The following is a 27,236-nucleotide window of genomic DNA, read 5'->3' as shown; positions in this document are numbered from 1 at the left end:
TTGGGATGGTGTTATGTAGTGTGTTGGGATGGTGTGTATGTAGTGTGTTGGGGTGGTGTGTGTGCAGCGTGTTGGGATGGTGTGTGTGCACTGTGTTGGGGTGGTTGTGCAGCGTGTTGGGATGGTGTGTGTGCAGTGTGTTGGAGTGGTGTGTGCAGTGGGTTGGGATAGTGTGTGTGCAGTGGGTTGGGATGATGTGTGGGCAGTGGGTTGGGATGGTGTGTGTGCAGTGGGTTGGGATAGTGTGTGTGCAGTGGGTTGGGATGATGTGTGGGCAGTGGGTTGGGATGGTGTGTGTGCTGTAAACAGTTTGGGAAACCTGGGCTGGGGAGGACCAGAGAATGATGCTTCTGGGTCTTCACCGGCAGCAAATGATATATGTTTACACTGGGCCTTCTGCGGAAGCACTGTGTGACCCTGTGGCTCTGGAATATGTTGCTAAAAAAGGTTGTCCACTTTCTCCTGAATGCTTATGTAGCTGGAATAAATTATTCTCTGTCTGAAATGGCTTAACAATAAAATGTTCACCTTTCTTTTCGAGAGTATACAAGATAGTCTAGCAAAATCAGCCATCTTGTGGAGCTCTGGGATTAGAGTTAGAAGGCCCGGACAATGATCCTTTCTGTTTTTTGTGTATTTATACTCTGACCATTGTCAAAACAGACTTGAAGCACCTTATAATAGAAATCTCAGATAGAGCAAAATAAAAATCTTTTCAACTTAGATACTGTTAGCAAATTGAACACTGCTGTTGGTTAAGATTAGGATGCATTTTTTTGTTTGTTCTCTCTTACCCAATTTATTGAAAAGGGCAGAAAATCCAGCAATAACCTAAATAAAACGAAAGAATAAAAGATGAGGTGAGGGTCTTTTTTTTTTCACATCTTGGACAACAAATAAGCAAAATTTTGAAAGCCAATGATGAAGAAGCATAGATATCTACTTTAAATTCCAATTCTGATTAGTATTTTTCTTCATTAGTGAACTTCTCTCATATTCTACATCTTAAGACAATGGATATATTTTCTCAAACTGGTCAGACAGTTAAAGAGTCATCTTACAGGTATGTGTTATATAATTCATCGTATTTTGATATTTTCTGTGTCACTTAGAGGCTAGGTTTTGTGGGGTTTTCTTCTGAGCATTTGCAGGCAATTTTTTTAACTATCACTGGGCAAAAGGTGCCTATAAAAAGGTTGACCAGAGGTGGGAGGATCACATGAGCCTGAGAAGTCGAGGCTGCAGTGAGCTGTGACTGTGCTACTGTACTCCAGCCTGGGTGACAGAGTGAGACCCTGTCTCAAAAAATAAATAAATAAAAGTAAAAAAGGGCAACCAAGTTCTATAGAGAGGCTCATTGTTACTATGCGTAACAGAGAAGGTGAGAAAGCACAGGTTTTAGCCAATAGTATTTTTTAATGAAAAAGCATAAATCACTAAGCATCTACCATTGTTTTCAAACTTAATACACATACAATCTGGAGCAGAATTTATAACATGCAAATAGGTAGGTTCAAATCAAACATCTTTTTTACTACGTTCAACTGCTATTAGGCAGCATTTGACTTTAGGCTTTTTTTCTCCTCTAGGGAAATTCCCAACTCTTGGTGCTTTTAAGTGTGGGAAAACCAAAGGACCACAGGACCAATATTCTTCTTTGTAAACTGTTTGTGGTTTGGCATTCAGAATTCTCACAATTGTGCCATGTTTCTTTAGAGTCTTCCATGGGCTGGCCTCCCTCATGCTAGGAGTCATCTCTGGTGAATTAGCTAGTCCCACTTCTGTCTAGGTGACTGTGCAAACACAAATGGTTGAGTGTGTATTGGATGAGGCCAGGGGATGATTTAAAAAGTTGTCTTCCTATATATCATATTATTTGGTTAATAGAAGGATCAGACTGATTTTTTTCATGTATGTTTACTTCTGGCCTGTACACAGTCCTAGAGAATGCTAGTTTTCAATAAAAGTTATCTCTAACAATTCAGTGTCTCAATAAATATATTTTGTAGGCTAGAGAAAGAAATGGCATCTTTCCTAAGTCTTATGGCTGAATAAACGACTCTGGCAGACCAAACCATATCTTGAAGTCATAATCTTTCTTTTTTCCTTTTAAATCTAGATTATAAAATATATACATGGCAAGAGAACCAGGACAATGACTGACTATGTGACTATGACTATGTGACTATGACCGTAAGACACTATGAATGGCTCTTTCTTCCCTAAGCCTGCATCTGGCTTCAGACCCTTCTCAGCAAGAAGCTCCAGAAAGCTACTAATGATTGATCAAGATTAAATGCAACTTGAAAACGATTTTCCATCCTTGCTTTAGATTTCATCACCATTTGAAGTTAGTTGTCTAATTTCCTAAAAGTGCTTATTCTAGTGATTTTCCCCCTTCTGGTCATGACAAATGAGGCTCTTTGTGAGCTGGTATCCAAGGGTTTTATTTGTTTGTTTTCCTCTGTTTTTGCTCACACTTCTCAGTTTGAAGTTTTCCTTACAAGACTTTTAGAATTGTTTAAATGACACCAGATTTGGTAATACTTACAGAAAAACCAGTATAGATGGGTTTAAACTCCATAGTGCTAAATTTTGCTAATTTAACAAACGATTATTGAGCGTGTATTACATGGCAACTTATTCTGTATATAGAAAGGAAAAGAGAGAGCTCTTGGGTTCAAAACCTTATATTAAAATAAAAGAAAATATATTGTGGGAACTATTTATGCTGTCTTCAGGAGAATTGCTTGGGGTGTCTGAACTCTTCCATAAATGTTTTTGGATAAGCAACAGTCTCAGATACAAATTCTGTGTGCAGCATTCTTCTGAAACAATCCAGCCATTTGGCTGCATCTGTGATCAACACCAACTGGTCCTAAGCTTTGGAGAAAGGCATGAGCATGTGTATGCTGTGTGTGATACAGGAATGCCACTGAAATCCAACTTAATCCATTAACTCATAAAACAGATTCAGTGTTTGTTTAGTGCTTGGTAATGCATTTTCTCCAATTTCAAAACTCATTGGAAATCCCACTTGCATTTGACCACACTTTTGTTTTCTCCTAAAATTCTTCAAAGTAACCCTTACAAAATAGGAACACCAAACAGATCATGTAATAAGGGTTGAAATTCTTATCCACACTTGACAACTTAGCACAGTGGAAACAGCATGATCTTTGATGTCAGAAAGGTCCTCTAGTCTCTTTTATGTGAGCCTTGGCAAGTCAAATGACATAATGAACCTCATTTTTTCATCTCTTATTGGGAATAATGCTATTTACCTGCCAGGATCATTGTAAGGACAAAAAATGTAATGCATATTTAAATCTTGGTGCATAGTAGGCACTTCATAAAAATTAGCTTTTGTTATTATTATTCTTGTTATCGGTAGTAATACTGTCACGGGACCTGAGTTAAGGTTGCACGTATCATTCATTCATTTATTCATTCAATGAGTGTTTACTGTACAGTGTCTGCTGTACAGGATCCTGTGCTGGGCATTATAGTGTGTGTGTGGGAGTGATACAAACACATGGATTTTTCCTTTAATGGTCTTATTTTCTGGTTGGGAAACAAATAGGCATATAGATAACCAGAGTAGAAAGTGCCAAAGGGACTAAATAGTATAGGGCTTAGAAGGAAGGAAGAGTCTAATTTTACTAGGAGTGGAGGTAGAGGAGGAAGTAGGGAAAGGCTTGCTGGAGCAAATACAACTGTGACCCCATTCCCCACTGGGCAAGTTGGTTCTTCAGGTCAGTTAGTTCAAATCAAAACTACCTGCTCCTCTGCTCTGGCATTCTTTGCCTGCCACATTTCCAATGGCTGCTGGCTCCCTCTACTTCTAGTAGACTCTCATATTGGCTTAAAAGAAGTGAAAGAGACATGAAAGACCAACTCTTTCATCCCTCTGAAGGATCCTATCAGTTTTAAAAGCAACCATACACCTAGCTCTTACCTGCCTATGGCATCTTTATTTTGGTTTCACATTATAAACCCGTTGGATGATGAGATTTGAGGTTTTCCACATAAATACTTGATATCTGGTCAGTTTCATGGCAGTCATTTTGCCCTCCTTAACAGTTTATATGTCATCATTTACTTTTGAAAATACTCTAACGTTTTCATAATATGGCTAAACTTGAGATTACAGGAGATGTATCTTGACAGAATGAAAGAGAGATTTGTCTTTTCTTTTCCTGTTACCAGCAATGAATGCAATATAACCAAAGTTATTCTCCCATTTTTGCTTGGAAACTCCCTGTCAAACGCAAAGCCTAGCTGTAGGAATTACTTCCTGCAAGTAGCATGACTGATGTTAAAATGGCACATAATAACTTTTATCAGTCTTTCCCTATTGAAAGTCTAAAAGGAACAGAATTAAGTCTAGAACTTAAAATAAAAGTTTATTTAAAAGATGCTATTTCCTCAATATGATAAACATATATATGCATACACATTCATACACATACCATAAAAACACAGATTTATATGCAATGTTATTTCCATTAAAAGGAGACACAAGTCAAGTATGTCTGTTATTGCCACTGTTATTTCACATTATTTTGGAAAAGTGATACAAATAGCTAAGAAGATAAAATAAGACATATACATGTTTAAAATGTCAAATTTCCAATTTCATAAAAACCCAAGAAATCAACTAAAAATTCTTAAATATTAAAAGAGAAATCAATAAGATAGCTGATTAAACAATGAATATACAAAATTAGAAAAGCTCTTTTCTAACAAGAAGGATCAGGTAAGAAATACAATGGAGAACATTCTAATACAAAAGACAGCTTAATGTATTAAATATTTAGAAAAAATATGAAAAAATAAAGGTTCAGGATTTACATGGAGAAAACTATAAAACTGCATCAAAGATCATAAGAGAGAATAAATAAAAGTTCCACATTGTTCTTGTGTGAATATTTATTCTGGTGATGCTGTTATTATCTGAGTAAATCTGTATGTTAGACACAATCTCAATTAACATTTTTTAAATAAATTATTTAAAGTTCAACTAAATATAAATATTGACATAGCAAAAAAATTCGGAAAGTGGCAGCAATTGGAAAGAACACTGAGCTGCCAGATATTTAAATGCAATAAATAAAAGATGGCCAAAAAGCATTTGAATAGATGCTGTACTATACTAATAATCAAAGAAACACACATTGAAATAAGAATGCAAGTTCCTTTTTTTGCTATACAAAATGCAAAGTTATCTAGTATTGATAACTATGGGGATCAAACATTCATATACTGCTAAGGTTAAATGGGTATAATTTTCTTGAGATAAATTTGGCAATGTATTTCAAAATTTTAAACGTGCATGCTCTTAGGGTTATGCTCCCAAGTGTGTAGGTACAAATGATGCATGGTGCATCAATTATTTTGTCTTGGAATTTTTCCTATGCAAATAGTTAGATCAGTAACTCAAGATATATGAACAGGAATATTCATTGATGCTTTATTTATAAGTAAAAAGAATACAGAGAAGAGAGAAGAAAAAGAGCAATTGAGTTTCCAGTCATGAAGGATTCACTATTCAATCATTTTATGCAGGAGTAAAAGTCATTAATAGTAAAAATATAGTTCTACACTTACAGACTAGACAGAGGAAAAGAGAGGTGAGGAGGAGAGGGAACATGAGGAGAAGGAGGGGAGAGGAGGGGAAGAGAGGGAAGGAGAGGAATGTGTTTTGGCAGGCTACATACAAAAATGTTAATAACTTTAATCACCACATGAAATTAGTAATATTTATATTATTTTTATTTCCTTGCTTTATTGCCTGAATATTTTAAAATAAGCACTTCTTAATTTTAGGTATTTCTGGCTCTTGCTCTCCCAATTGTTACCCAATCTCCTTTTCTGTGAGCCCTGAGCAGACATCTCTGCTACTTTAAGAAAACAGCCATTTTCTTTCTGGTTCTTATTAGTAGATGTCCCCTACCTTGGGCCTTTCTTGTTGACAATGAAGCCACAGCAAGGGGTTGCTTTCCCACCACACGAACTGGAATCCTCTTTCAGAATGCTGATATTTAAATTATCTGATGTTCTCAAAGCTGCTAATGCCAGTGGGCTAAATTCCCTGAAGTCTGTTAGCTAGTTACTAACCTGTTTTTTCTTTTTCTTTCTTTTTTTTTTTTTTTCCTCTCATGAGCACCTAGCAAGACTACATTTCCCAGGCTCCCTCACAGTTAGATTTGGTCATGTGACTGATTTCCAACCAGCAGATGTGAGTGGGAGTGAGGGGCATCATTTCCAGGCCTGGTGCATTGGAACTTTTATGTGTGATTCTCTGCATTCTTCCCATCTTCTGACATCAGTGCCTGAGGTGACTTTGAAAACCATGTGTTGAAGGTGACAGAGCCTAGATCTTGGAATGAGCCTAGATCTTGTGAACACAGCCCCCTGCCAAACTAGAATTGTCTATTATTTCTGAGCACCTGCACATATGTGCACACAAACCAAAAACATACAATCAAAAGCAAACAAGCAACAAGAAGAAGCACTTCTATTCTTGACCCATTAGACTTTTTTGGGTCTATTTGTGATTGGAGATAACTGATCCTAACTGACACCAAAGCCATATGATTTTCTGTGCAGAGCTGGGACAGTGCCCTTTCTCCCACTCTGGTTTACATTTATGCCCTGGTCAGCACAGCTTAGACCCCGCGTATCATAGTCCTTCATGAAAAGAGCTCCTTCAGCTGGGGCTTCAGCCCTCCTCTGCAAGACTCACATATGAGTTAGTGGGTCCCAGCAGGGAACATTCTCAGATACCTTCACTGTAGTATTCTCCCTTTCTCTTTCACCTTCTCATTGGTACACCTATTCTAAACTTTCTATCTTTCCTGCCAAAACCATCAAGGCCTTTGACCCACAGAGAAGACTCATGCACCTTCTTAGTTGGTTAGTTATGCTAGGAAGCTTGAGACGGAGTTGGGATTCCTGTTATGCCTGCAGAAAGTTGTCTTATTTTATAGGATGTTTATAAACTGCCAAGTCTGAATCAAATGAATAAGGAGGACCATCAATGAGGAAGTACAATTTAGTGGAGAATGCCCCAGAAGGACCTGGGTTCAAGTCCCACATTATGCTCCTGAGCTGTGCTGATCTCTGATTTAATTTCCCCAGTACCAAAATAGAAAAAAAAAGTAATTCCTACACGACAAGCACATTCTGAAATTTAAATGAGATCATCTTTGCAAATTGCTTGGCATTTAATGGTCACAATAGCTGACAGATAAATTTGATAAACTGGAGGATAGTAACAGTAATAGAAAAAATGATCAAAAAATCTATTGGGTTGAAATTTTATGGGAGAGGAGAGAGATTGAAGAAAAAGAGGTGCTTGGACCTTTAGAGGATAAACACTGACCTTGACCAGATTAAACTGCAATTGGTGATGTTTTAGTATTACATGTGATCCACGGTTATAAAATACTATTACATGTGATCTGCAGCTTCAAACCTGGCATGGCCTTAGTATCAGCTTAGTCTCATGTCTGTGGTGCTCATTTCTTCCCCTCCCCCAAATTTCCATTATCCCCCTTTGCTATAGTTTAGTGAATGCAGATATCTTCAGCTGGTTATTATGCCCCATTGAGTTATTAGCACCTCCTGGAGTACTTCATGATTTCATCCCCTTAGTATGTATTCCCATGGAAACAGAATATAGTATAACACAACTGAGAAGGGGCCCCTTTTGCCTTTCCTGTGTATATCGTCAAGAATGACATTACTAGGGGAATAAGGCTGGGGGTATGGGGTTTATTGTGGATTTTCACAGTGATTCTCTTTGCATCTCTCAGAGTTCTGTTTTTAATAAACTTAACTAGAAATGTAACATTACCAAAAAGTATAATCAAGTTTATTGTACATGTATGAGTCACAATAAATGGGGGCTTGATAATGTTTTTGCTTACATAAATAAGCTGTTTCACAGTTGATTTTTTCTTTTTAGTGGAAAAATCTGTTTGGGTGAAGTCAGGGAGTCTGGGAGAAAGGCTTTAGAATGGAGTTGACTGATAGTCAAGTAAAATTTACAAATATATGCGCAGTTGACCACAATGTTTCCTCTAACAACTTATGGTTAACTTTACCCTGTGCATGAGCTGAGTTGGTGAGCCCCGTAGGCTCTAAGGATGGCAATCATCTAATCCTAATGAAGGACTCTCTTCATGATAAATTTAAAGTTGGGGCCTCAAACACCTAACTTCACTGAGTTTTGGTTTTCTCGTTTGGAAAACACTGCTTCTGAAAGTGGTGTGCCTAGCATGCTTGACACATGGAGGCATATCATTTTTAACACCTCTCTCCTCTAAGTGACGAAACGATCCTCCACAGTAATCATGAAATGAACGAATAATAGCAGTGGCAAGAAAAGAAATGCAGACAGTCAGACTTTTCTGTGAACATATATATAATCATGCCAGTAAAAAAGAAAAAAAAAAGTGACATTACCAAAAAGGGAAACAGTTAAAGGATTCATACTTTCTAATTACATTAATGTATTTGTTAAGAAGGGAAGAAGCTTACACTTATATGTACAAAACAACATTACAGGTTCTGTTTTTGTGCCTTCTCCAAATTTTCAATGGCTGTCAAAACTGTTTTTCTTTGCCTATTTATGTTCAACGAACAGCATAGCCAGACTTGTCCACCTATCGTCCCTGATAGTTGATCAAAATTTGAGTTTTTATTAATTTTAATTTCAAAATATTTTTTGGAAGAATCAACAGATACACAAATAGTTAGGATAACTATCAAACATAAGGATAGATATGGTAGATTGATAAAATTCCAGAAATTGTTATACTGGCCACATCTTTGTTTCTTTGGGATCAATTCTATCAGCTTTCAAGTGTCTCTAAAATTAAAATAAAATAAAATACCTTCACCAGCAAATTTATCAAAAATAGCTGTTACATTTTGTAAAATTGTCTGTAAAGATCAGGGAGAATTACTGTGTGATAACTAATGTTAACGTTGTTTGATCAATTGCTTTAGAACAAGTGTCCAGTTCCTTGTGAAACTCATTGAGGCAGTTGAACATCCTTTTGTCTTTTTGATTTCTTCTAGCAATGTAAGACCAGCAGATTGTGTTGTTTCTCCTGGCATTTTTCTTAGAAATTTGAATATCTTTCTCATGTCAAAAGTCTATTTCTTTACATTTTGTTGTATAGTCAGTGGCCTTCTCTATGATATCTATGTGCTAAACTTCAAGCATTCATTTTAAAGCAGGTGTTTTACTGTACATTTAATCAGGCTGATTCTGGCTATTGGTAAATAGTGGTTTTGGTGCCTAATAATGTCATATAAAGCTTCCCATCAGAAAATATTCAAATTTGGAAAAATATTTTATTTCTGAGCTGAAATTTGTACTTACCAGACAACATAACACTCTTGTTCCTTTACTGGGCTTTATTGTTTTAATTTTTATATGTGAATTATCTCTAAATAGTCACATTGAGTGTCAGAAATGAAATAACTCCAGTTTTGCTTCTTCATCTTTTTCAATCACTGTGCTGTCAATGTTCATTCAGAGTCACTTATTTAACTATAGAGATAGGTGGTATCACAAGTGCTAAGGATGTGGACTACATCTGAAGTGAGCTGAAATTATTTTAAATTGTCACAAATGTAGTCTCAACATGAATGCCCATGGCGGGGTCTCTGCTTGTTGGGGGCCAACTATATAACTGGGAGTTCTCTGAATTAACTTCTGTGTAGAATATAATGTTTGTTCAAGGATAGCTAACAACAGAAAGTGTTAATTTAAAGCTTACTTATATATTATTAAAACAGTAATAACTACAACAATTGTTTAGAATTTAGACTAACAAAACATTTTTCTTGGGTTGAAACATTTTATCACAGACATTGTTTAAAATTTCTAGCTCATGGTGATAATAAAGAGCAGAGCAACTTTTCAGTCCATTTTTCAGTATTGTTTTTAAATTCTTTACAGTCAATGCAACCCTTGGTGCCTGCACCCCGGGTAGACCGCTCACACCATCCTGCCCTTGGTACTACATTGGTTTGGGAAATCCAGCACGACAAGGGCTGTCTTACATAAGGTTATCAACAAATGCTAGTTTCCCTTCTTTAAACGTTTTAGAGTGTACTCATATTCACCCCAAAATTTACTCTGCAATTTGTATGTCTATGTAAGTATATGTGTGTATGCTTCACATGTTTACTAGACATCCACAACGTGCTAGATCCTGATCTAAGACTTAGGAATACAAGCCGAAGGACCCAAATGTCCTTGCTCTTGAAGAATATACTGACTCAATAACAAGTAAATTATTTTTCAAAGTTTTAGCCGTCATTGAAAGTTTTCTTAGTATATCCTTAAAATAAGGGTAGTGCAAGTAACATAAATCTCCTCATGAATGGCTTAAACTCTAAGGTCATTTGCTTTTGGATTAGGCTATCTAGGGGTGTGAGGATTCAGGTTTGGTTTCCAGCTAGACAGTGCCATCAAAGATTGTGATTCCTTTGGTCCTTTGGCTCTACCATCCTCAGTTTGTATGCAGTGTCTCTCCTCATAGTCACAAAATGGCTGCTGCAGCTCCAAGCATCATTTTCTAATGGAATAACCTCAAAAGTAGGAAGTGAGGGTGCAGGTTAGAAAGCAAAATGAGTTTCTTCCCCTTTATCTCTGTGTTAATGGAGGTGGGGATGGGGGCAGAGATTCCTTTTACAGAACTCCACAGTAACTTCTCCATATGTCTCAATGGTCAGAACTGGATCACCTGTTCAACTCTGAGTAAATAACTGATGAAAGGACATGGGGTTGTCATGACTGGTTCACACCAACCACAGTTGATTATCTGGGCCTGTACACGTGGCCACATGAATGAAATCAGAGTTTTGTTAGCCAGGAAGAAGTGCGGTATGACAGTTGGGCTAGGCAGTCAACAGTGTCTGAATGCCTGACTCAGTAGAACTGTATGAAAACCCTGTGACAGCACAATCTCTCAGACAACTGAGTTACTTATTCGTAAATGAGATTGCACCTGACCCTACTTAGCTCATAAAAATGCTTGAGCCAGAGATTCAAACTTTGGGTCAGATAAGTTTAAAATTCTTTTTATTTACAGCTTTATTGATGTATAATTTATAAAAATAATATATATTTCAGTATACATGTGAGGTTTTGGTAGATGTATGCATTGTGAAATGATTACCACAATCAAGCTAATTAATATATCCATCCCTTATATAGTTGTCTTTCTTTTCCCCTGTGGTGAGAATACTTAATATCTACTCTCTTAGCAAACTTCAAGTATATACTACATTGTTACTGACTTTAATCACCATGCTGTACATTAGGGCCCCAGTAGCTGTTCATCTTATAAGTGAAAGTTTGTGCCCTTTGACCACCATCTCCCTGTTTCCCCCTCCCTCGACTCCTGAATAACCACCTTTCTACTCTGTTTCTATGAGTTTGATGTTTTTAGGTTCTACATATACATGAGATTATGCAGTAATTGCCTTTCTGTGTTTGACTTATTTCACTTAGAATAATGTCTTTCACGTTCATCCAAGTTGTTGCATATAACAGGATTTCCTTCTTTTTTAAGGTGAATATTACATTATGTTTATGTATATGTGTGTATGCATATATATGTGTGTATGTGTGTGTATATATATGTGTGTGTATGCCACATTTTCTTTATAAGTTCATTTATTGACAGGCATTTAGGTTTTTCCTATATCTTGACTGTTGTGAATAATGCTGCAATGAATGTGGGAATGCAGGTATCTTTTCAATATATTGATTTTGTTTCCTTTGGATAAATACCAAAAAATAGAATTGCTGAATCATATGGTAGTTCTATTTTTAATTTTTTAAGGAATCTCCATGCTGTTTTCCATAATGGCTTACCAATTTACATGTCCACAAATGGTACACAAGGGTTTCATTTTCTCCATACCCTGACAACACTCGTTATCTTTTGTTGTCTTGACAACACCCATCCCAACAAGTGTGAGGCATTATCTCATTGTGGTCTTGCTTCGCATTTCCCTGATGATTAGCGGCCATTTGTATGTCTTTGGAAAAAAGTCTATTGAGGTCTTTTGCCTGTTTTTTAATTGGGTTATTTGGTTTTTTGCTATTGAGTTGTAGGAGTTCCTTATATATTTTGGATATTAACCCCTTATCAGATATATGGTTTGCAAATACGTTCTCCCATTCCATAGGTTGACTTTTCATTTTGTTGATTGTTTCCTGTGTTATGCAGAAATTTTTGGTTTGATGTAGCCTCACTTGTTTATTTTTGCTTTCGTTGTCTGTGCTTTTGGTGTCATATCCAGAAAACTCATCGTCAAGACCCTTGTCACGTAGCTTTTTCCCTGTATTTTCTTCTAGGATTTTTATGGTTTCAAGTCTTACATTGAAGTCTTTCCATTTTTAAATGAGGAGTTCCAGATTAGATGAACTTTTAGGTTTCTTCTTGCCCAGACACTGCATGAAATAACTCACTGGTGCCCAGCATTTATCAATTATGGCAGCCTCTGCTTTCCTGTGCCCTTATCACCCATCAAACAAGATTCTCTTGTAGCCCCACTACATGCCTTTATCCAAGCCATTTGCTCCAGCTATTTAATGACTCGCTAAGAACCTCCCTGCTCCATGGTAGGTCGGTCAGTGAAGCAAAAATATGGCTTGCCTCTGAATTATTTCAGTCCGGCTACTGTCAAAATAGCATAAACATATGACAAATTTTTCCAGCTATGTGAAGAATCAGAGTACCGGATGCAATTCAGACAGCATAAGTTACTGCAGCAATTCAAATATTTAACACTCCCTGAGGCACTCCGGCCATTATAATATGCAATCCAGCCACACAAAACTCCTTGAAGAATGGACAAGAAAATATTCCTATAGAGCTATGCCTATTTTTCTCTTAAGGGAGAAAGTCTGTTGCAAATCATTATCTTAGATGTTTGAAGGGCACAATAAGGTACATCCTCTTGCATGTCTGAGGACACTTCAAGGTACTTAAGAGATGAATTTCCTCCAAGAGACATGAGTGATTCTTTTTTATTTATTTATTTTTAATGTATTTTTTAATTTTTTTATTTTTCCATAAGTTATTGGGGTACAGGTGGTATTTGGTTACGTGAGTAATTTCTTTAGTGGTGATTTATAAGATTTTGGTGCACCCATCACCCCAGCAGTATACACTGCACCCTATTTGTAGTCTTTTATCCCTCGCCCCCTTCCCACCTTTCCTCCCAAGTCCCCAGAGTCCATTGTATCATTCTTATGCCTTTGCGTCCTCGTAGCTTAGCTCCCACATATCAGTGAGAACATACAATGTTTGGTTTTCCATTCCTGAGTTACTTTACTTAGAATAATAGCCTCCAGTCTCATCCAGGTCACTGCAAAGTCCGTTAATTCATTCCTTTTTATGGCTGATTAGTATTCCATCATATGCCACAGTTTCTTTATCCACTTGTTGATTGGTGGGCATTTGGATTGGTTCCATAATTTTGCAATTGTGAATTGTGCCACTATAAACATGCTTGTGCCCATAATCTTTTTCATATAATGACTTCTTTTCCTCTGGGTAGATACCCAGTAGCAGGATTGCTGGATCAAATGGTAGTTCTAGATCAAAAGTTAGTTCTAGAACTAAATTTTAGTTCTTTAAGGAATCTCCACACTGTTTTCCATAGTGGCTGTAATAGTTTACATTCCCACCAGCAGTGTAGAAGTGTTCCCTGATCACCACATCCATGCCAACAGCTACTGTTTTTTTGACTTTTCGATTATGGCCATTCTTGCAGGAGTAAGGTGGTAATGCATTGTGGTTTTGATTTGCATTTCCCTGATCATTAGTGATGTTGAGCATTTTTTCATATGTTTTTCGGCCATTTGTATACTTCTTTTGAGAATTGTCTATTCGTGTCCTTAGTCTAGTTTTTGGTGGTATTGTTTGTTTTTTTTCTTACTGATTTGTTTGAGTTCATTGTAGATTCTGGATATTAGTCCTTTGTCAGATGTATAGATTGTGAAGATTTTCTTCCACTCTGTGTGTTGTTTACTCTGCTGACAGTTCCTTTTGCTGTGCAAAAGCTCTTTAGTTTAACCAAGTCCCAACTATTTATCTTTTTTTAATTGCATTTGTTTTTGGGTTCTTGTTCATGAAATTATTGCCTAAGCTAATGTCTAGAAGGGTTTTTCCAATGTTATCTTCTAGAATCTTTATAGTTTCAGGCCTTAGATTTAAGTCCTTAATCCATCTTGAGTCAATTTTTGTATAAGGTGAGAGATGAGGATCCGGTTTCATTCTCTTACATGTGGCTAGCTAGTTATCCCAGCACCATTTGTTGAAGAAGGTGTCTTTTCCTCTCTTCATGTTTTTGTTTGCTTTGTCGAAGACCAGTTGGCTGTAAGTATTTGGCTTTATTTCTGGGTTCTCTATTCTGTTCCAATGGTCTATGTGCCTATTTTTATACCAGAACCATGCTGTTTTGTTGCCTATGGCCTTATGGTACAGTTTGAAATCAGGTAGTGTGATGCCTCCAGATTTGTTCTTTTTGCTGAGTCTTGCTTTGGCTATGCGGGCTTCTTTTTGGTTCCATATGAATTTTAGAATTGTTTTTTCTAACTGTGAAGAATGATGGTAGTATTTTGATGGGGAGTGCATTGAATTTGTAGATTGCTTTTGGCAGTATGGTCATTTTCACAATATTGATTCTACTCATCCATGAGCATGGGATGTGTTTCCATTTGTTTGTGTCATTTATGATTTCTTTCAGCAGTGTTTTGTAGTTTTCCTCGTAGAGGTCTTTCATCTCCTTAGTTAGGTGTATTCCTAAGTATTTTATTTTTTTGCAGCTATTGTAAAAGGGGTTGAGTTTTGATTTGATTCTCTGCTTGCTCACTGTTGGTGTATGGAAGAGCTACTGATCTGTGTACATTAATCTTGTATCTGGGAAATTTGCTGAATTATTTATCAGTTTTAGGAGTTTTCTGGAAAAGTCTTTAGGGTTTTCAAGGTAAACAATCATATCATCAGCAAACAGTGACAGTTTGACTTCCTCTTTACTGATTTGGATGCCCTTTATTTCTTTCTTTTGTCTGATTGCTCTAGCTAGGACTTCCAGTACTATGTTGAAGAGGAGTGATGTGAGTGGGCATCCTTGTCTTGTCCCAGTTCTCAAAAGGAATGCTTTCAACTTTTCCCCATTCAGTATTATGTTGGCTGTGGGTCTGTCATAGATGGCTTTTATTACACTTAGGTATGTCCCTTCTATGCCAATTTTGCCGAGAGTTTTAATCATAAAGCAATGCTGGATTTTGTCGAATGTTTTTTCTGCATCTATTGAAATGATCATGTGATTTTTGTTTTTAATGCTGTTTATGTGGTGTATCGCATTTATTGACTTACCTGTGTTAAACCTTCCCTGAATCCCTGGTATGAAACCCACTTGATCATGGTGGATTATCCATGTTTTTCTTATTTTTTGAGACAGAGTGTCGCTGTGTCACCCAGGCTGGAGTGTAGTGACGCAATCTCGGCTCACTGCAAGCTCCACCTCCCAGGTTCATGCCATCCTCCTGCCTCAGCCTCCCGAGTAGCTGGGACTACAGGCGCAAGCCTCCACGCTGCCTAATTTTTTGTATTTTTAGTAGAGATGGGGTTTCACTGTGTTAACCAGGATGGTCTCGATCTCCCGACCTTGTGATCCACCCACCTTGGCCTCCCAAAGTGCTGGGATTACAGGCGTGAGCCACCAAGCCCAGCCGGATTATCTTTTTGATATGTCGTTGGATTTGGTTAGCTAGTATTTTGTTAAGAATTTTAGCATCTATGTTCATCAAGGTTATTGATATGGTCTATAGTTTTCTTTTTTGGTTACATTCTTTCCTGATTTTGGTGTTAGTGTGATACTGGCTTCATAGAATGAATTAGGGAGGGTTCCTTCTTTCTCTATCTTGTGGAATGTGTCAAAAATATTGGTACCAATTCTTCTTTGAGTGTCTGGTAGAATTCTGCTATGAACCTGTCTGTTCCTGGACATGTTTTGCTGGCAATTTTTGAATTACCATTTCAATCTCACTGCTTGTAATCGGTCTGTTCAGGGTATCTAATTCTTCCTGATTTAAGGTAGGAGGGTTGTATTTTTCCAAGAATTTATCCTTCCCTTCTAGGTTTTCTAGTTTTTGTGCATAAAGGTGTTCATAGTAGCCTTGAATGATCTTTTATAATTTAGTGGTGTCAGTTGTAATATCTCCTGTTTCATTTCTTAATGAGGCTATTTGGATTTTCTCTCTTTTTTTCTTGGTTAATCTTGCTAATGGTCTATCAATTGTATTTATCTTTTCAAAGAACCAGCTTTTTGTTTGATTTATCTTTTGTATTTTTTTTTGTTTCAATATCATTTAGTCCTGCTCTGAGTTTGGTTATTTCATTTTTTTTTCTGCTAGGTGCTAGGTTTAGGTTTGGTTTGTTCTTGTTTCTTCTTTTTTTTTTTTTTTTTTTTTTTAGATGGAGTCTCGCTCTGTCACCACACTGGAGTGCATGCAGTGGCATGATCTCAGCTCGCTGCAACCACTGCCTCCCGGGTTCAAGCACTTCTCCTGCCTCAGCCTCCCGAGTAGCTGGGATTACAGGCACATGACACCATGCCCAGCTAATTTTTGTATTTTTAGTAGAGACGGGGTTTCACCATGTTGGCCAGGATGGTGTTGATCTCTTGACCTCGTGATCCACCTGCCTTGGCCTCCCAAAGTGCTGGGATTACAGGCGTGAGCCACCGTGCCTGGCCTGTTCTTGTTTCTTTAGTTCCTTGAGGTCCTTAGACATTCTAGTTCCTTAGAATGTCAGTTTGTGCTCTTTCATACTTTTTGATGTAGGCATTTAGGGCTATGAACTTTCCTCTTAGCACCATCTTTGCTTTATCCCAGAGGTTTTGATAGGTTGTTTCATTATTGTCATTCCGTTCAAAGAATTTTTTCATTTCCATCTTGATATCATTTTTCACCCAGTGCTCTCTCAGGAGCAGTTTATTTAATTTCCATGTATTTTCATGGTTTTGAAAATTCCTTTTGGAGTTGACTTCCAGTTGTATTCTACTGTGGTCTGAGAGAGTGCTTGATATAATTTCAATTTTCTTACGTTTATTGAGGTGCATTTTATGGCCTATCATATGGTCTATCTTGGAGAAAGTTCCATGCATAGTTGAATAGAATGTATATTCTGTGGTTGTTAGATGAAATGTTCTGTATATATCTGTTAAGTCTATTTGTTCCAAAGTATAGTTTAAATTCATTGTTTCTTGTTGACTTTCTGTCTTGATGACCTGTCTAGTGCTGTCAGCGGAGTATTGAAGTCCCCCACTATTATTGTGTTGCTGTCTATCTCATTTGTTTGGTCTATTAGTAATCATTTTATAAATTTGGTACCTCCAGTGTTAGATACATATATGTTTAGGATTATGATATTTTCCTGTTGGACAAGGCCTTTTACCATTATATAATATACCTCATTGTCTCTTTTAACTGCTGTTGCTTTAAAGTTTGTTTTGTCTGATTCAAGAATAGCTACCCCTGCTCGCTTTTGGTGTCCATTTTCATGAAATGCCTTTTTTCATCCCTTTACTTTACGTGTGTCCTTATGTGTTAGGTGAGTCTCCTGAAGGCAGCAGATAGTTGGTTGGTGAGTACTTACCCATTTTGCAGTTCTGTATCTTTTAAGTGGAGCATTTAGGCCATTTACATTCAATGTTAGTATTGAGATGTGAGGTACCATTGCATTCATTGTGCTATTTGTTGCCCGTGTACCTTGTTTTTTTTGTTTTTAGTTTTTGCTTTTTAACTTGTATTTTTTGTTTTATAGGTCCTGTGTGATTTGTGCTTTAAAGAGGTTCTGTTTTGATGTGTTTCTGGGATTTATTTCAAGATTTTGTGCTCCTTTTAGCAGTTCTTGTAGTGGTGGCTTGGTAGTGGCAAATTCTCTTAGCATTTGTTTGTCTGAAAAAGACTATATCTTCCCTTCATATATGATGCTTACTTTTGCTGGATACAAAATTCTTGGCTGATAATTGCTTTGAGGAGGCTGAAGACAGGGCCCCAATTCCTTCTAGCTTGTAGGGTTTCAGCTAAGAAATCTGCTGTTAATCTGATAGACTTTCCTTTATAGGTTACCTGGTGCTTTTGTCTCACAGCTCTTAAGATTCTTTCCTTCATCTGAACTTTAGATAACCTGAAGACAATGTGCCTAGGTTATGATCTTTTTGCAATCAATTCCTAGGTATTCTTTGTGCTTCTTGTATTTGTGCATCTAGGTCTCTTGCAAGGCCAGGAAAGTTTTCCTTGATTATTCCCCCAAATATATTTTCCAAACTTGTAGATTTGTCTTCTTCCTTAGGAAAACCAATTATTCTTAGGTTTGGTTGTTTAATATAATCTCAGACTTCTTGGAGGCTTTGTTCATATTTTCTTATTCTTTTTTCTTTGTCTTTGTTGGATTGGGTTACTTCGAAAACCTTGACTTCAAGCTCTGAATTTCTTTATTTTACTTGTTCAATTATATGGCTGAGTCTTTCCAGAGCATTTTGCATTTTTATAAGTGCATTCAATGCTTCCTGAAGTTTTATCTTTTCTTTATGCTATCTATTTCCTTGAATATTTTTCCTTCACTTCTTGTATCATTGTTTGGCTTTCCTTGCATTGGGCTTTACCTTTCTCTGGTCCCTCCTGATTAGCTTCATGAGTAACCTCTTGAATTCTTTTTCAGGTAAATCAGGGATTTCTTCTTGGTTTGGATTCATTGCTGGTGAACTAGTATGATTTTTACAGGGTGCTAAACAGCCTTGTTTTGTCATTTTACCAGAGTTGGTTTTCTGGTTCCTTCTCATTTGGGTAGGCTCTGTCAGAGGCAAGGTCTAGGGCTGAAGGCTGTTGTTCAGATTCTTTTGTCCCAAGCGGTGTTCCTTTGATGTAGTACTCTTCCCCATTTTCCTGTAGATGTGGCTTCCTATAAGCTGAGCTGCAGTGATTGTTGCCTGTCTTCTGTGTCTACCAAGCAAGTCTACCCAGCTCCAGCCTGGTACTGGGGGTTGTCTGCATAGAGTCCTGTGATGTGAACTGTCTATGGGTCTTTCAGCTGTGGATACCAGCACAGTATTTGTGGTGTCTCCTGGATCCCGCAGGAGCAGTCCGCTTCCTTCAGAGGATCTGGGGGTCCTCTTGGGATTGGTGGTTTGTTCTTGCAGTCAGTTTGGAGCTAGAATTCATGACAGGAGCCTCTGCAAGCTGCTGTGTCCATCCGTGTCAGAGCTGCAATCTAGTTCTGCCTCCCATTCGCCATGATCTCAACATGAGTGATTCTTAGCATTGATCTGTTTTCCTAGGTTTTCCCAATATAGTATACAAGGAAAAAAAATGGTAGAATAAAAGATCTCAGGTTTAAACGCTTCCTTCCATCATTTATTATCTGTATGATCATACTCAAGGAACAAAACTCTTCCCAAGTTTCTAACCTATCATCTTTGAGAAAGGAATGTTCAAGACAGTAGACTGGATCTCCCAAAATGAAGGCTCAGTATCAGGGGACAAGGAGATGTGGAAGGGAGGAATAAGCCTGCTCAAAACTGTGTGGTCTTAGTGAAGTCCCTTCCCTTCCTGGAAGCTAAGGTCCCATATGTGTGCAGTGAGGGCTTGTACCCAGCTCAGGTAACCTGTAACTCAATGTAGTAGTTTTTATATAAATGATCCCAAGAGAAGGCCATATGTTAAAGAATAAAAGAACCAGAGAGGGCCTAGGGGCTGTGCCACAGGAAATTATGTTTAGGGACTTTTTGAGTGGGGGGGAGTGCGTGGGGAAATAACAAAATCAATAGCAATTTTAGGAAAACTGCTGCACAGCTTTAGGGCTGTCTGGAGCATAGATAATCACATCCTGACCTTTTGGCTTTTGAAGAGTTTCCTTAATTACTACAAAATAGATCCTGAAGTCAGCCAGTGGTCTCAGTATAGAGTGACTACATGGCGCAACTTTGATAGTCACTTTGTTTATCTTCACCATCATATTTGCCACATTTTCCATGGTGAAAGTAGGATGACCAGGGAATTTAGAATGATAGGGGCTGGTTTCTAGTTACTGCTCCACAATACTGAGGCTGAATTCTTCTTAGCTCCCTTCATTCTATTAAACAAGCGGCCAGCATAGTAAAGAAAGGAGCTTTCCAGGCCTCTCTTCTCCATGCACCCGTGCCTCCATCCTGCCTTCTTTCTCTACCACCTGCTCAGCTGTCCAATCTGATTCCCCAGAGTGTACCAAGTAGTCTTGCATTAAGTGTCATGCATACCCACAGGGACAAAATTTGGGGCCCTCAGCAACTTTGGGTATTCCAAAATCATTTTTCATATGACATATCTGGAAAAACATTTATCTCCCTCTTGATCTTGTGAATTCTATTCTCCCTACATCAGGCCTTGTTAAGCCTTCTATTCTCTCTTTCTTACTTTCATAGGCATCTCTTATTACACTCTATTCTAATTACCTGTTTACTGGTCTTCACTTGAACAAACTTCTCGAGTTCTTTGATGGCAAGACCTGACTCTGGCCATCCTTGCAGCAAAGTGCCTGGTATAAGACATGGAAAAAGGAGAAGGTGCTGGGCTTAGTGACTGGGGAGTGAAGGCATAGGCTGTGATTCTGACCCCACTGACTGATGGTGAGCCCAATCTCCTTGACAGCTAAGGAATTCTGCACCCTCCACAGGCTCTAGTTTGGAGCTCGATTCCAGTTTGTGAGGAGGGACTTTCCCCTTTGGATACAAATCCCCATCTGGACCATATTCCACTGCTTCAAGTGTAGATAAATCCAGGAGTTGATAAGCTGACTTTTTGGACATGGGCTCAAACTGAGGAATCTAAAGGCAAATGGAAGTTGAGATACTGACTATTTTAAGCTGCCATGTCAAACACACACACACACACACACTCACACACACACACACACACACCCATCCCCATATCCATCCAAATCCAAAGCACACTGAAGCAATTCACAGCACTGCTGAATAAATCTCTCGTAATGGAACAGGAGGCTGGCTCGCTTAGGCAAAGACCAAGGAAGTTTCATGGGATAAAAGAAAGGGACATCCCCTTCACATCCTTTTGATTTGAGAAAATTCAAGTAATTTAGCCTTGAAGGTAGCACAAGAGGCTGTGCTTGGGATCAAATTAATATGTTAACTAAGTCCTTAACTAATACTCACTAAACACCCCTTCTGCCTTAGTCTCTGAGAATTTAGAAGTGGAAAGGATCTCATAGGATTGGGAGAGACAGCCAGTTACAATGCCGTGTGCTAAGTGCTGTAATAGAGAGAACATGGCATGATGTAGAGGACCTTTCCCCATAGCCTGGGGAAGGAAGAAGTAGGAGCTGAGCTGAGTTTTGTGGAATGAACAAACAATCCTCAGATAGAGAGGGTAGAGTGAGGGGGAGAAGTGTTCCATGCAGGAGGAAGGCCTGGACAAAGGCATGGGGACAGAAAATCTAGCAAATTGGGGAAATGGTCTTTTAAAATTACCGTGTAAAGTCTATTGGTAATTTTCAGCATGATTGCAAAATGTTGAAGAGAGTATACATATTGAATGTAAGCTAGACTTCCTATAGGAGGTAAATGGTTGCAGAGCATTTGTTTGTGTTTCTTAATGCAAATATTTGTTAAAGAGTTACTTTTACCATTAAAATGCAACCTGAATGCACACAAATTTAGGGCATTGGGATAAAATCACTGGTGAATTATAGAGGAAAATTTCATTTCAAAGATAGTTTTACAGAAATATATCAAAATGATTCTTACAAACTGGTGAACAGAAAGATTGGAGCATTGTTTTTTTCTTTTGAAGCAAATCCTGAAGGGCAGCATTTTCTCGTTTCTTGTTTGAAAGAAAGAATAGCTCTCATTTCTGTGACTTCATCTAACATCTCAAAAGGACACACTAAAGGAATATGCTTAGAAGTTGGCAAGCAGGCTTAGTGTCTTAGGGAGGAAATCTATTACATTTGAGGACTTCCATGCAGCTGCTGTCCAAACCACAGTAAGCCTGATAAACCATAAGTTAAGCTGACCTCCTGCTGATATGCTTGGGACACCATCAGAATCTATTTCCAAATATTTCAGAAGGGACTGTATGGAATCCTCTGACTTCTGGAGCATGAGATTGAATGGGGAACCTGTTTTTTATTATGGTTGGGAATAACAAAAAAATGTTTAACTATTCCATGACTTTAATGGAACACAGATTTGGTTTGCCTTGGAAGTAACTGTTCAGCATTATAATTACAATTTGCTTGCAGCGTCAGTGAAGGCACACAGTGGTCCAAACCACAGAGGCAAAGAAGAAAGGGGACACGCACTGAGATACATGTGTGTGTACATGTATTGACATACACACACATACATCACCCATTGGTTCATTTGCAATTCATGACACTCTGGAGCTGGGAGGATTTTTTTTCCAAAAGGCCACATCCGTTCCCTGACAAACTCATAAATCATTTTATTTCTCTACTATTAAGCAAAACCCATTTTTAGAACCAGCACGATCACTGAGTCTCTGTTCATTTGGCAAATGCGTCTCATGCTGAAATAAACCTGCTGTCAAGTTTGACAAGAAGTCCACATTCTCTGAATGTATGCGCTTTGCAATGTTCATCTAGAGGCATACAATTTTGGATAATGCCCTCAGGGAGCTGCTTTTGCAGGGGTGCTGGACTCAGCATTTAGTTCATCCCTGAGGTTCCTACCAATGTAGCCCTTTCACTAGGTTTAAGGGCTTTCAAGTTTCACCCAAGGCTTAAATGCGATAGTAGAGTCTGGAAAGAAGCCAAATGGGGCAGGGGAAATGAAGCAGATCCCAGCTAATGAGGTTCTGCCAAGCACCACATGTTCATTCTGGGGCTTTTACTGCTCTCTCTTAGAAACTATAATCCCAGGCTGACTGAATATTGCAGCAGGGATGGGGCTTTCGGCTGTAAAGTAGTCAGTACCCCAAGTTTCATCAGCTGGGCCTTTGTACTCACCATTTTCTCTCCATGAAAAGTGCATCCTCCAAGTCTTGGCATGGCTCACTCCTTCTCATTCTTTAGGTCTCAGCTCATTTAATTTTGATAATTATTCATTGAGTTCAGTGTCATTATTATCACCTTTTAAAAGATCAAGAGACTGGGCTTAAAGAGTCCAGATAGTTTGATAACTGGCTAGTAACTAGTAGAGACTGGATTCTAACCCTCTGGGTTTGAACTCTGAACTCATATTCTTAAAGGTTACAATGTTGCTTAGTTATCTGCTCTGAAACAGACCTCAGGAGAGTGTGGAAGGAAACATATTGAAAATTTCCACTCCCTCCAAAGCAATTTTAACTTTTCAGAATGCTTTTTATGCTCTCCATTGTTGGACCCACTGCAGTGGGGTGCATTGAAGGATTCCTGAAGGAAGCAAAGCTTGAGTTGGTATAGGAAAGATATTCTATACAAAGAAATGGAACACTAGGAAAAGGAGCACATGTCTGTGGAATAGCAAGAATTGTTGAGAAAGCTACTCAAAGAAATTCAGTATTATCTGAGAATTATAATGAGGAGAGTGACAGAAGCTAAGGCTGGAGAATCTGACATGAACACACGTAAGATGTAAGATGCCAAGTGATGTTGCCTCCAACCCAGGAGACAATGCAGTGATTGTAGGTAGCAGGGTGACATGGTCAGGCTTGCCTTTTAGGACTATCACTATGGCTGCCATGTGGCGAATGGGTTGGTGCAGGCAAGGCAAGAGGAAGGAAGATCTTTTAGGAACATTCTGCAATATGGCAGGTAAAAGATGTTGTGAGTGTGAAGCTGGGCAGTGACAGTAGACAGGGTGGGGATGGGTTTGACTCATGAAAATGCAGAAGGCAAGGTCGATATGACTTGCATTAGGGAGAAGGGAAGCATAAAAAGTTTCCCAAGTTTCTGGCTCATGTTCCCTGAGTGGATGATGGTGCCACTCTCGAGGAGATAGAATCAGATTTAGTGAAGACAAAGATAAGTGACAGTGGTTTAGTACATGATGGGACACAATGGGACAAGTGTCCATTGTGCCCTTGCACGTGAGGTGCTGGGGAGTTGAGCACATTGGGAAGGTGATTTGGAATTCGTAAGCATATATGAGTTTATTCAAGCCATCACTTCAGACAAGTGTGTAGCGAGAGAAGAATTGAGTTCTTAGACCCTTGGGTGCAACAGCATTTATAGGGTTGTCAGAACAGGTGAACTCACAGTAGAGACTTGAACTCTGAATAAAGCAGGGCGCCTAACAGCATGAGGTCCCCTTGGTAGCCTGCAGCTTCTCCTCCTTCTTTGAAATACAAATCAACTTCTTTTGGGGGATGAAGAACTAGAATTATTGTAAACCTATCAGTTTTCCAAGCGTCAATTTTTCCAATTGTTGGGACTTCTATTAGGTCTAACAATGGAGGACATAAAATATTTACTGAAAAGTTAAAACTGCTTTTGAGGGAGTGGAAATTTTCAGTATGTTTTTAGCAAAACCCACAAGATTGAAGTTCAGTTCAAATAACACAAACATTTTGCATGCAATAGCTGTTTATTTTATTTTTTATCAATTTGGCTCCATATTTCTATGGTAGTAACTTTCACAAAGTTCTGGCCCTTAATTGTGACAGTACATCCAATGTTAAATAGAAAATGGAGTAGAGAGACGTCCTAGTCTGTGTTGCTATGAAGGAGTATCTGAGGCTGGGTAATGTATAAATAAATGAGGTTTATTTGGCACATGGTTCTGTAGGATCTGCAAGAAGCATGGCCCCAACATCTGCTTCTGGTGAGGGCTTCAGGCTTCTTCCACTTATGGTGGAAGGGGAAGGGGAGCCAGCATGTGCACAGGTGGCATGGCAGGAGAGGAAGCAAGAGAGAGAGGAAGAGGTACCAAGAACTTTTCAACAATCAGTTCTTTCAGGAACTAAGAGTGAGAACTCACTCCAGTGAGAACAGCACCAAGCCATTCAAGAGGGACCAATCCCATGACCCAAACACCTTCAACCATATCCCACCTCCAACATTAGGGATCGAATTTCTACATGAGACACGGTGGGGCCAAACCAAATCCAAACCATGCAGGGGAAAAGGAGATTTCTATTTCTTTCTCCATTAACCACTCAAATGTTTGGTTTATGCAATGCTGCCTTCTAGCTAGACTTCATTTGCCGTTAGCAAATTTAACAAAGGCTGAATACATAACCTGCTATCTCCCTGGAGCTATGCTAGGCGCTGTGATGGGCAGTGTTTCCTTTAAGATTCACAAATGGGCCAGAGAGAGATTAGAATGCTTTTGTCTATTTGATAAAGAAATTGAAGTTGTAGGAGATGAAGTGATTTGTTCAGGTTTACTCAGCGAGTTAGAGGAAGGCAAGGATTAGAACACGTGTGCACACACATACACATACATTTTAGATTCTAAGTCTTGTGAGCTTTTTTTCTTTTAATACAACTGCTCTGTTTCCATTTCTAAAATATGGTTCACATCTTGCTGGGTTTTTAAAAACTGAGTAAGTCTTTTCTCTGTTTGTAACTCCTTAGCACCCCAATTCCATTAAACAAATGCACAAAAAAGAGAAATCAGTGAAACGATGACCTTCATAAAATAATCATTCCTAAATCATCTGTGCAAATTGTTCTCGTCTACACAATTATGCCTTATGAGAGACCATTTTGATTACCAGTCAAAGGGAAATAAATGAGTGGTATGTAAAATTTAGTATCCATGATTTTTCTCATCAGTGTCCTTTAAATACATCCACATTATATCTGAGGTTTAAAAACAAGGCAAATGGGCACAGCATGCTTCGGTAGGACTGTCCTTTGTGGCTGTAGAAATGAGCCTTAGCTAACTTAGGCCTGAGTGGTTCCAGTACCTAAGTAGATCCCTATACTTAACTCAGCAAAGCATACATAGTTGTTATTCAATTGTTATTTACTTTTTTGGTCTCCTTTTATTTCATTTCCTAGGAAACTGAGTGGACGTTGAATCTGTGAATGGGAAGGGAATTCTTGTATTTTCTAACCAGATTTGCCAGGACCTAAGAGCAGATAATGGGGCGGGGGAAGAAAGGAAAATTGCCCCCCATGTATCCAATACGCCAATAAATTCTATACACCAAAACTTTGAATGAACAAAGTAATTTTTAGAAAATCAAATAGGGATTGTCTAGGGAGAATAAAAAGACATAGTGTTAGTCCAGTGTATTTATTGGCATGGCACATGTTGATTGATTACCTACTGTAAGCTAGGCCCTCTGCCAGACCTTGGAGGCATGAAAATAAACAAGACAGATGTGATTACTCTTGCTAGTTGAGAAGATCACCATGAGTGCCTACTAAGTGCCACATGTTTTCTATCAAGTTTTCTATTCATAGTAGTCATAGCTATTAGCAGTGGCTCAGATGTTTGATGCTTGATCCCTCAGAAGCATCTCTGAGTAGGCAATCAAGCACTTAATTTAAATGGAGGCTTTCTCTTTTTAATTTTTTTTTGTAGAGCATAGCTACTGATAGAGAAACTATGCGATAAGATCTGATACATAGCCAGACGCCATGGCTCACGCCTGTAATCCCAGCACTTTGAGAGGCCGAGGTGGGAGGATTACTTGAGGTTAGGAGTTTGAGACCAACTGTCCTACTAAAAATACAAAAAAAAAAAAAATTACCTGGGCATGGTGGTGCATGCCTGTAGTCCCAGCTACTCATGAGGCTGAGGCAGGAAAATCACTTGAACTTGGGAGGTGGAGATTGCAGTGAGCCGAGATTGAGCCACTGCACTCCAGCATGGGTGACAGAACAAGACTCTGTCTCAAAAGAAAAAGAAGAAAAAAGATCTGATATATAGGTAAGGGAAAAGAGATTGAGATGGGGAACCAAAGTATAAATACTTGGACTTAGCTGATGCATTTAAGAAGTAAAGAGGAGCTGCAAAATATGATGAGGGTTACAGGCCTCAATCCAGAAATGCTTCTTGACTCACCTGCAGCAGGTCCCTGAAATGCCATCCTTATTAGTAAAACTAATACTGTCTAGAAAATTATTGCAATAATGGCTAGAATCTATTGAGTATCTTTTATATGTAGGTCCTGTCCGAAGTGTTGTACAAACATGATGTCATATTATTAACCTTCAGAGCATCCCAGTGAGGTG

The 27,236-nt window shown here is 38.4% G+C and overlaps 2 long non-coding RNA genes across 5 annotated transcripts in view; both read left to right on the top strand.

Moving 5' to 3' along the window:
- Positions 1–2,313, top strand: part of LOC105376212 (uncharacterized) — a 37,257-nt gene extending 34,944 nt beyond the window's left edge. For both annotated transcript variants that reach the window (XR_001746880.2, XR_930235.3), the window contains 2 exons: positions 982–1,063; positions 2,120–2,313. This is a non-coding gene — a long non-coding RNA (uncharacterized LOC105376212). The remainder of the gene's footprint in view (positions 1–981; positions 1,064–2,119) is intronic.
- Positions 1–27,236, top strand: part of LOC105376214 (uncharacterized) — a 401,533-nt gene that overhangs the window by 196,989 nt on the left and 177,308 nt on the right. The window lies entirely within an intron of this gene.

Source organism: Homo sapiens, chromosome 9, assembly GCF_000001405.40.
Source record: "Homo sapiens chromosome 9, GRCh38.p14 Primary Assembly".
Lineage (NCBI taxonomy): Eukaryota > Metazoa > Chordata > Mammalia > Primates > Hominidae > Homo > Homo sapiens.
Note: the sequence above shows the minus strand (reverse complement) of the source record. Positions and strands in the feature narration are given on the sequence as shown.